The sequence below is a fragment of the Homo sapiens genome, chromosome 2 (genome assembly GCF_000001405.40).
Source record: "Homo sapiens chromosome 2, GRCh38.p14 Primary Assembly".
In the NCBI taxonomy this organism is placed as follows: Eukaryota; Metazoa; Chordata; class Mammalia; order Primates; family Hominidae; genus Homo; species Homo sapiens.
In genome coordinates this window covers 239,406,886-239,418,360 of record NC_000002.12, presented here as the reverse complement: position 1 = coordinate 239,418,360, position 11,475 = coordinate 239,406,886, and the positions used below count along the sequence as shown (strand labels likewise).

Below are 11,475 nucleotides of genomic sequence, written 5' to 3'. Positions count from 1 at the left end.
AGTGCCCGCACACACAGTCACTGCTCAGATGTTTAAATTATGATCATGCGGGGCTTTTAATCATCTAACGCTAAAAAAAAGTCAAGGAATAACAAATAATATTTCCACTTAAAAGTGAAATCCTGATGAAACATGATTTCTCATATTAAGTGCCTTCTTCCTCAACAAAATGAATTTAGAGCATCGTGTGCACTTGAAAAGTAACGTTAACTATTTGCCCACCCTTATACACATTTATTCCAATTTTCATTATGACAGTTTGGAATTTCTTTTGTGTCCTAGAAACTACTTGTTAGTGAAAAATGTAATTTGATTTTCATGCAAAAATAATTGACTTCAATAGTCTCCACAGAATTTAATTCTTAAGACTGATACCCAAGGAAATTTTATGAGTTTCAATTGTGCAACTGGCAATGCTTCTAAACACGATTAAGAAATAACATAGAATTTGGCCGGGCGCCGTGGCTCACGCCTGTAATCCCAGCACTTTGGGAGACCAAGGCGGGTGGATCACGCGAGGTCAGGAGTTCAAGATCAGCCTGGCCAACATGGTGAAACCCCGTCTCTACCAAAAATACAAAAATTAGCCAGGTGTAGTGGTGCACGCCTGTAATTCCAGCTACTTGGGAGGCTGAGGCAGGAGAATTGCAGTGAACCGATATTGCACCCCTGCACTCCAGGCTGGGTGACAGAGCGAGACTCTGTCTCAAAAAAAAAAAAAAAAAAAAAAAGAAGAAAAAAAGAAATAACATAGAATTTTTGTCTTTTCCAGATCACAGAAGTGAAGTTGTCCTTTCGACATAATTTGTTGAGGGTCACGAACTGTGTGAGGTGAGAAAGTTCATCAGTGGAAAAGAGAGGAGGCGTCAGAGTTGCTTGACCACTGTGGAAGGTGGGCACTGGGTAAACCACTGGCTGTTTGAATACTAACACAATCTTGAAAGAGAAAGATTCTGATCTTGGAACTGTCCTCCACATTTATTATGTATGTATGTGTGTATTTTATTTTGGATACCAATGTTAAATATTCCAAGCTTAGAGAGAAGTAGAAGAGTTAATGACCACATGTGTCCGTGCTTGTTATCATATGTATCCAAAATCGTTTATTCCTCTTTGTTGTGTAGTGTTCCGTTGCATGGATGGACCACTCCGTTTATCCACTCAGTCACTGAAAGACCTTAGGGTTGTTTCCAGTTTGTGGCTATTATGAATAAAACTATGATAGACATTTTCATATAGATTTTTGTGGAGCACATGTTTTCATTTCTCTAGGGTAAATACTGAGGAACAGGATTGCTGGGTGTATTAGTCCTATCCAAGACTGGGTAATTTATAAGGAAAAAGAGGTTTAATGGACTCACAGTTGCATGTGGCTGGGGAGGCCTCACAATCATCTCGGAAGGTGAAAGGCATGTGTTACATGGCAGCAGACAAAAGAAGGGCGCTTGTGCAGGGAAACTCCCCTTTATAAAACCATCAGGTCGGCCGGGTGTGGTGGCTCATGCCTGTAATCCCAAAACTTTGGGAGGCCGAGGTGGGCAGATCACCTGAGGTTGGGAGTTTGAGACCAGCCTGACCAACATGGAGAAACCCCATCTCTACTAAAAATGCAAAATTACCTGGGCATGGTGGCGCATGCCTGTAATCCTAGCTACTCAGGAGGCTGAGAGAATCGCTTGAACCCAGGAGGCAGAAGTTGTGGTGAGCCAAGATCGTGCCATTGCACTCCAGCCTGGGCAACAAGAGCAAAACTCTGTCACACACACATATACGGAAAAAAACACCAAAAAACAAAAAAACAAAACCATCAGATCTCATGACACTTACTCACTATCACAAAAACAGCATGGGAAAGATCCACCCCCATGATTCAATTACCTCCCATGGGTCCCTCCCACAACACATGGAAATTGTGGGCGGTATAATTCAAGATGAGATTTGGGTGGGGACACAGCCAAACCATATCACTGGATCATATATATGGTAGGTGGATGTTTACCAATGGGAAAAAACTGCAACGCAACAAGACGCCTTTTTTTTGCATTGGCTGCACCACTTTGCATTCCCATCAGCCAGACGTGAGAGTTGCAGTTGTTCTGCATCCCCATCAGCCTCATAGTCTCCACTGTGTTTTCTTTCAGCCCAGCAGATAGATGTGAAGTGGCAGCGCATTGTGGTTTGAATTTGCATTTCCCCAATGGCTAATGATATTGAACAGTGATGTCAAATTTATTAATATTTTCCTTCATGGCTTCTGGCTTCTGTGTGCTATGAAAGAAATCTTTTCATGGGACATAAAACTATTCCTACCCCATTTCCTTCTAAGACTCTGAAGTTTTACTTTTTCGTATATAGACTATTTTTCTGCCAAGTTTATGTGTTTGATGTGAAATGTAATTTTATTTTTCTTTTGTTTAATATGGAGAACCCATTGTCCAAGTATCAATGATTTAGTCGTCTTTCTCCTCTGCTCCGTAATGCAATCTCTGTCATAGATCAAGTTTCCATACATACATGTGCTGCTGCCTGGACCCTGTTCTGTTATGCCGCTGTATTTGTCTATTCCTGTGCCAAGGCCATGTGGCACAATTCCTAAAGCTTAGAATAGATCTTGACATTTGGGTAAAACACCTCCCCTCCACCACTGTGTTATTTATCAAAATTGCCTTGCCTATTCTCAGCTCTTTGCTATTTAATGATTTTCAGAAGTGATTTGCCAAAAATTGCATTGAGGTTTTAAAATGCATTGAAGAGAATCATCATTTTTTACAATTTTCAGCTTTTCCATCCATGGATATGGTATTCATTTAATTGAATCCGAGATGCCATCAAGTAGAAGATGCACCATTATTTTATGTGCTATGAGGAAACAGAAAGTGCTGCCAATTGATCTACGACACGAAACTATGACACAGTTAATTTTAAGACATATTTGATTTCTGAGATGTTAAAAATGTGAAAAAATGCATGTTTCAGAATTGATGAAATTTGGTGTATACCATCAGTTATTTGGTTCCGTTTAAAATATATTTCAGTAAGTTTCACAACTGTTTCCACGAATATCTTTTACAAGTTTTGTTAGGTCTATCCCTAGGCAGCATGAAGTTTTTGCACTGTAAATGGTGTCTTTAGAATTCTAAGTGTTTCTGTGTATAGAAATACGATGAATTTTGATGTATGGATCTTATGTCTGGAAAACTTCCTGAGCTTCCCTATCAGTTCAAATAGTTTGCCTATAGATTCTCTTGATGTCATCTTTTTGCCATTGATTTCTAGCCCTATCACAGTTTGGTAAGAGAATATATTCTGTATGATATCAATTCTTTGAAATGTGTTGAGATTGGCCTTCTGGCCTAGTGTGTAGCCTTAGCCAGTGTTTATATGTTCCATGAATGCCTGAAAAAAAAATGTGCTTCCTCATTTAGGAGTGTAGGATTCTTTTGATATGGGGACATTAGTATAACCATGTTAATTAATTCAAATCTTGTATATATCAGTTATCAAATGAGTAGTATTCTACAATATTATGGATTTATAAATTTCTCCTTAGAATTTTTAAAATTTTTTCTTTATATTATTTTGGGGCTAAATCACTAAATGCAAAAAGTTTAAATTGATTTATCTTCCTGGTGAATTGTCCCTCTTACCCTTATGCAGTGGCCACCTTTATCTCCAAAAATGTTTTCTTTCCTCTGGGTCAATTTTGACTGACATTATAACAACAGATACTTCTTGTGATTTGTGTTGGCTAAGAACATCATTTTTTTTTTGCCCCGCTCAGACTATTAGCTTTGCAGAATTTTCATGTTTCATGCTATCGCTTGTAAAAAAAAAAAAAAATAGGGAGATGGCTTTTATTTTTAAGCCCAACCTGGCAGTCTGTCTTTAACTGGCAAATTTAGTCCATTTACATTCATTGTGAATACTGATATATTTGGACATATTTCCCAGTTTCACTTTTGGTTTTACCCTACTCTTTCTATGCCTCTTTTGTTTTCCCCCATTTGGATTGATTGATCTTCCCACCTCTTTTTCTCCTTTCTTTTTTTCTGTCCCCTCTGCTGCTTTGGAAGTTATATATTTTATTTCAAGTGGTTTAGTGTTTTCTTTAAAAATTTGAACAAACATTTTTTGCTTAACAAAATACAAATGTATACTTCCTACCAACACTAGGAATGCAGAGAGCTTCAACTCCAACGTCCCCTCATGCCTTATAAGCTATATTATTGTATGCCAGACACCACCCATCACCTTATCTTATATCATGTATGCTATAGCTCATGCCTGCTTAGATTTACTCACACAATGTCTTTGCACTCCATTTTCTTGCAACTAATTTACTGTCTTGGCCAGGGCAGGGCTCCAGAGAGCAGGGAGGCCAATTCAAGGGCTTACACTGGGCCTTTCCTATCATGATACCTGTTGCCCAAGAGGTGAAGAGGCTCTGCAATCTACTAAATACATCCATCCTAAGCTTAAACTAATGTTTATATATCAAAATAATTTTGGCCGGATGTGGTGGCTCATGCCTGTAATCCCAGCACTTTGGGAGGCCGAGGCAGGCGGATCACGCGAGGTCAGGAGTTTGATAACAGCCTGGCCAACATGGTGAAATCTTGTCTCTACTAAAAGTTACAAAAATTAGCTGTGCGTGGTGATGTGTGCCTGTAGTCCCAACTACTTGGGAGGCTGAGTCAGGAGAATCTCTTGAACCCAGGAAGCGGAGGTTGCAGTGAGCAGAGATTGTGCCACTGCACTCCAGCCTGGGTGAAAGAGTGAGACTCTGTCTCGAAAAATAATAATAATAATAATAATTTTGCACTCCTAAATTAGGAAACACGTTCTTTTCAGGCATACATGAAACATTGACAAACACCGGCTATGACCACACATCAGGTCACAAAACAAATATTAACATATACCAGTGAATCAGTACCACATATAGTCAAGGGCTGGAGAAGTGAGCACAGGGAGGTCTGCAAATCCCTTAGACCCACTGTGACAGACGTGGTGTGGGAAGGAGAATTCTTCGAGGGCACCAAGATTCTGGCGCATAGTGACGGATGGCAGGATTTGCAAATATGATGGGATATCCCTCCCGCAATTATGCAACCATAGGAGAGGCAACACTCTACTTCTACCTCTTAGGGTTCCCAGATAGGCCTGAGAATTCACTTGGCATAAGACAGATTAACAGCAGAAAAGCATACCGATTTATTTAATCTAAATTTTATGTAACACAGGAAACCTCATTAGGAAATGAACAGAAAGAACCGGCAAAACCACAATGTTTCTATACCTGCTCGAGCAAAGAGAGGCAATTGCAGGAAAGTAACTAAATTATGTGGGATGCCAAAAGAAGATAAGAATTATTTTAACAAGATCCATTTGTACAGCATTTTCTCAGCTCTGACTCCCACTGAAGAACATTTCTTTTTCTGCTGGGACAGGGAGGGCATCTTTCACACAGGTTTTATCTCCTGTTTTCAGGAATCAATGGAGAGGTCAGAGCACCCTTCCTGTGTCTGCTGTTTTAAGGTGCCTTTAGCTCGAAATGATCCTTTACCAAAGTGACGTATTTTGGGGTGGCATGGTCTGCAACCCTTCATTACATTGTAGGTCAGAAAGGATTCTGCAGGTGTCATTAACATCCCTAATCAGTGGGCTTTGAGACAGTCAAAGGGAGATTGTCCTGGGTGACACTGAACTAATCAGGTGAACTCAAAAGACATCAGAGGGATGCTGAGCTGGAGGGAGCCTCCTCCTGGCCAGGCAGAAGCAGACTGCTTGGTCGTGGAGGGGACAGGTGGCAAAGAATTGCAAGTGGCCCGTAAGAGCTCAGAACAGGCCCTGGCTGACAACCAGCAAGAAAGCAGGAACTTCAGTCCTGCAACCACAAGGAATCGAATTCTACCATCACGAGTGAACTCGGAAGAGGACCCCGAACCTCAGATGAAAACTCAGTCCTGACCGACGCCTTGATTTCAGCCTGGTGAGACTGCACAGAGGACCCAGACTCCTGGCCCACGGACACAAAAGAAATCATTCATGAGGGTTATTTTAAGCTGTTGAGTTCGTTATGCAGCCATAGATAACTCACACAGCAAGACCCAGGTACCATCTGCACTGTGTGTGCCCTTCTCAAACAAGGATTGTAGGGGCACCTCTGATTTCAGTGTCAGCTCAATCCTGTATGCAGCAGTTCTCCCGAGGCCTGGATCTTCCCTGCTCCACAGGGGGCAGTTGCTCTGAATGGCTGGAGGTCCTGTGGGGAAGCACAGGGAAAAGAGCTAGTCTATTAACTGGCTGTGGTGCCTCAGGACCTCCATCGCTGGACTGGTGGCTGAGAACTGACTCAGGTCTGGCCATTGGGTGAGGGGTTGTGATTTTCCTTGTGGCAGCTGACACCAGCCTCTGTCCACCCACCTCTAGCCTTTATTGATTCTATGTTAGAAAGTAGTGCCCCCCATTGGCTGCTGTCTCTCGGCCCCCCAGGACCTCCCTGGTCTGTTGGCATCACCACCAACACCTGTGAATTGAGCACCTTATCTGCTGTCCTGGCTTGCTGCCCGTCATGGAAATTACGTGCACCTTGCCCCAGATGGTGAACTGCCACTGCCCCTGCTATTCAGGATCCTGCCACTCCCAAGAACACGCGAGGACTCAGGTTCATCAAGGCCCTCCCTCTTCTGCCCTGTCCTACTGAAGACAGACACCTCCAGCTTTCTCAATGATGCTCACACCTCTTCTAAAAGTTCTTTTCTTGCCACCTGAATGCAGAGAGAGTCCTGTGTTCCTTGTGGGAACTTCATGTGATCAATCTCTCTCAGTGCGCCCACCTCTTGGACTTCCTGACCCCTTCCTTACTGACCCCCAAGGCAGGCCTGGCGGCTCCCCTCCACCACTGTTGGCCATTGTCTCCATGCTTCAAGGAACATTCTGGCAACCCATCAGTTCCAGTCCTCCATGTCCTTACTGGGGTGTGAAATCCTGAGTCACAGAGGGGGACCTACGTGACTACGTCTTCTCTCTCTTGGGTCTGTGCTGCTCCCATCGGCACCCTCGGGATCTATGCTCCTGTTCCTGCCCATGTTATATTCATTAGCTCCCAAGTTTCTGTTAAATAATCCCTTTTTTCCTGTAGCTGGGGCTGTAAGCCTCCTGCCTGATCCAGGGAGGAGCTGACAGTCACCCTAGAAGCAATGAGGGAAGGTAGGGAAGGTGGCTCCTCACCTTGGGAGGAACTGCCTGAGCCAAGGCTTTGCAAACCCTATAGGTGCTGAGCGAGTCTCTGCTCTGGCATGGGGAAGGCCACTCGTGCTGGCCTGGGGCCCGTAGGAGAGTCTGGAGGTTCCAAGACCTCACACGCATCCTCTGAAATGTTCCTCTCCTACATCTAGGATCCCACTCTTTCCCCACCAAGGACCCTACCCTTGACTTTAACACCAGAAGCTTGCTGGAGTATGAACTCAGCCTCTATCACTTTGTAATCCAAGCTTGGGCCTGATTTTCAGCACAGTTTGCTCTCCAACTGCAGAAGCTGCTAAAACTAAGAATTAAAAAATTAGCCAAGCACGGTGGTGTGTGCCTATAGTCCCAGCTATTTGGGAGGGTGATGAAGTGGGAGGATCACTTAAGCCCAAGAGTTCAAGGCTGCAGTGAGCCATGATTAGGCCATTGTACTTCAGCCTGGGTGCCAGAGTGAGATTATGTCTCAGAAAACAAACAAACAAACAAAAAAAAACAAAACCCAAAAAACAAATAGTCTGCCATCAGTCCAATGATCATTCCTCAGGAGGCCACCTGCCGTTTCTTTGTGGCGCTTTTAGGAAAGCTTTCTTTGCATTGGCATTGGGCAGTGTTGCTACCATAGGTCCAGTGTATCATTATGTTACTTACCATCCTCAGGGCTCGCAGGACTTCCTGAGCCTGAGGATCCCCCTCCTTCCGTAATGCTAAGAACTTCTCAGCCATTATCTTGCTCCTCCTCCATTCTCTCCTCCTGCAATGCCCTGTTCTAGATCAGATACCCAAGAGGCTGAGGGTGAGGTGAGGGCTGCTGTACAAATGCTTTCTCGAGGATGACTCGCAGGGGGTACCCTGCCAGGAAGTGAAGGGAGGATGGCAGGGCAGGGAGTAGGGCCAGAGGAAGGACAGTGCACAGCAGGCGTGGGGGGAAGTTAGGAAAGGTCGTGATTTAGGCTCAAGCCAGCCAAGGCTCAGCCTGAGCCCATGGGGAGCTCAGGAGCATGACTTGCTGTACAGGGATCTGGGCTTCCTATCCCTGGGGGTCAGACACTGGCCATCTGGGAGCGGAGACAGGTAACCTCCCAAGCATTTCCAGGTGAGGTGACTCCCCTTTGACCAACGACAGCTCTCTGGAGCATGACACAGCTGTAAGCCATTCGCAGGCCACACTTCCAGGTAATGGAGATCTGTCCCAAGCACCCACATGGCCACCACTCTCCTAGTAAAAAAGAGACGCTTCCATATCTTTTATCCTGGGGTCTGCATTTGGATAAATTCCTTGGGTCCATTTGACAAGTTGCTAACAAGGTTTTCTAAGATGCTTTTTATTTTCCCCACCGAATTTTTAATTTTAATGACTACATTTCTCATATCCAGATGTTTTACTTGGTTCCTTGAAAAATTCCACTCTTCTTTTTCTTAGTGTCTTATTCTTCGGTTCATAGTCAATGTAACTTCCTTGATGCCTTTAGCAATTTCTAACATTTATTTTTAAGCTCTCTTATAATCCCATTGCCTTGGCTGGAGGCATCATCCTGTTCTTCATCTGCTGACTCTTGCTCATGGTGAATTGTTTCCTTTGGGTTTTATAAACTTACATAACATTTTACATATTTATATAAAACCTTTACATCCTGTCATTTTCGGTCGTGAGGTCATTTTGCGTGAGGCTCTATTCCTGGGAATCCCGTGTAACCTAGGTTGAGGGTGTTACCCTCATTGCCACTGTTTGCTTCTGCCAGAAGTTCTGAGAGTATCCTACACCTGGACTACTTTTCATGTTACTTTTGGGGCCTGAGAGTTCCTGGATTGCGCGGGTAGCATGTATCAAACCCAAGTGAGGGTAGGCCCTGCTACAAATTTGCAAGAAGCCTTTTCCCCACCCAGAACCAAGGTGGAAACAGATGCTCTTCCTCATTGTCTCTGTGTTCCACTGGCCAGATTTTTTTCTAGTCTGTCCTTTCACTAAGGATCTAGAATTCAAACGCCTCAGCCCCTGAGTTAGAGGTATCAGGAAGGGCTTTTTCCTAAGGCATCAGTTTAGGAGATTTCTCGTCTTTACGGAGTTCCCTTACTTGCTTGTATATACTCAGCCATGTGTTCTTCAAAACGCAGCCTTTTAGGCAGCACTCCTAGGTCCTTTGTAATGAGAATGTTTCCAGGTAAGCGAGTCAGCCCCCTTGCCAGGATCCTGAGCTTTGCCCTCTCCCCTACCACTGAAATCTTAAGCTGAAAATAATAATGTCTTTCCACAAGTCTCTGGGCTACAGCTACTCAGCCCGGGCACTGAGCTCACTGGAACCTCCAGGTCCTTACCCCTGCCCTTTTCTCATCCAACTCTGCCCTTTTGCCCTTCCTGTCCTCTGCGGCCTGGACCTCACAGTGAGTCATGCCCACCACCATAGCTAGTACCCCTAGGGCTTTGCTCCTTTGTCCTTCAGCCCTACCACCAACCTTGCATCTATCCAACAATACAAGAATTTTGCAGCTGGCCTTCTCAGTGCTACCAGAAAAGATAAATGACCCTGGTGCCATTACAAACCCTGCATTTGACTGGGTGGGCCCTCAGCACCACTCAGCAATGCTTTTTTTTGAGACCGAGTCTCGCTCTGTCGCCCAGGATAGAGTGCAGTGGCGCGATCTCGGCTCAGTACAAGCTCCGCCTCTCGGGTTCACACCATTCTTCTGCCTCAGTCTCCCAAGTAGCTGGGACTACAGGCACCCACCACCATGCCTGGCTAATTTTTTGTATTTTTAGTAGAGACAGGGTTTCACCGTGTTAGCCAGGATGGTCTTGATCTCCTGACCTCGTGATCCGCCCACCTCGGCCTCCCAAAGTGCTGGGATTACAGGCGTGAGCCACAGCACCTGGCTAGCAATGCTTTCTAATAGCCTGCTCAGCTCTCTCTTCAATACCCTGCCAATGCCACTCCCACAGCACCTGGCTCATAGCAAGCACATCACGTGTTGATTATTGTTGTCATCACCCTGTCTTTACTCCTGGGTCTCAGCTCAGGACCATGTCTATTATAAACATAAGGCTGCCATCCTCAGCCTCCTGCCCTCACCTGTAGACTCATCTCTGCCCATTCTCACCCCCTCCCCTTTCTTTCAGAGGCCCCCTACTGTTTGAGGATCTTCCTGCTTGGGGTTTTCAGAGCCCGTCTGAGACCTGAGCACAAGGGTCCTGACCTGGCCTCCTGTTCCAGGACCCGTGCTATTGAAGCAGGCTATCTGGCCCCTCCAGGGTATCTTTCTCTCTAGCTGAGAAGTCGCTGCGACCGACCATCGTGGGTGTTGCTCGGGGACCCATGCTCCAGGTGACAGGGGCCCAGGATTCCACATCCAGATGACCCGAAGCCATTTCCAAACAGGCACGGGCCTATTCTGAGATCCATGGCCCAAAGGCAGACTGTGGCACGGGGCTGCCACACTCAGGTCTGCAGGGAGGCCAAGGGGTGGCTGTCTGGGAGTGTGGGTAGAGCTTGAATCAGGCTGGGCATGGGAGACAGGCTCCTTGAAGTGCAAGACAAGGCCAGTGGCAAAAGGAGAAAGGAACAAGGCAGAGGCTGACTGCAGCTCCCTCTGAGGCAGAATCTTGAGGCCCCTGAGGATTTTAAATTCCAGACAGTTACAGCGGGATGAGTGTGGCAGGAGGAGGATGGGCACTTTCCTTGTCACAGTCTATTGGCTGAATTTGCCCTTTTATTTATAGTATTTAGACACGAGATGTGTGAGCCTCTGCCTGACACTTGCCACGTGCCACACACGCTCGGGACGGGCCTGGCACTCCCACGGCATCCTCCACATTCCTCCCTGGGACTCTCTCAGGGGCACTTCCCCCACGCCTCCGCCCTGGCCACAGACCTACCCCGGTCTCCCGTACTAAGAGGAAAATACAGACAGTCCCGACTCAGGAGGGTCTGACTTGGCCTGTTGCAGTTTTGACCTAATTTACAGTGTTCAATGAGTGACGTGAGGTGCTCAACCCTTTATTATAAAACAGGCTTGTGTAAGATGATTTTGTCCCACTGTAGGCTAATGCATGTGTTCTGAACCCACTGGAGGCAGGCGAGGCTGAGCCATGACGCTTGGCAGTTTCGGTGTATTCGAAGCATTTTCCACTTAGGATGGACTTATGGGGATGCTGCCTGCGGGAAGTGGAGGAGCCGCACATGAAACTTTTTGCCTTGGGTCTCCCCCACCAGCTCCTCAGACGCTCCTCAC

General features: G+C 45.7%; 1 annotated feature.

The window, feature by feature from the left end:
• Positions 10,141 to 11,092: an enhancer, noted in NCBI's record as "H3K4me1 hESC enhancer chr2:240328963-240329914 (GRCh37/hg19 assembly coordinates)". NCBI's record gives its function as "activates a minimal SCP1, AML or CMV promoter by ChIP-STARR-seq in primed H9 embryonic stem cells {active_cell/tissue: H9 hESC(primed)}" and the evidence as "EXISTENCE:reporter gene assay evidence [ECO:0000049][PMID:30033119]".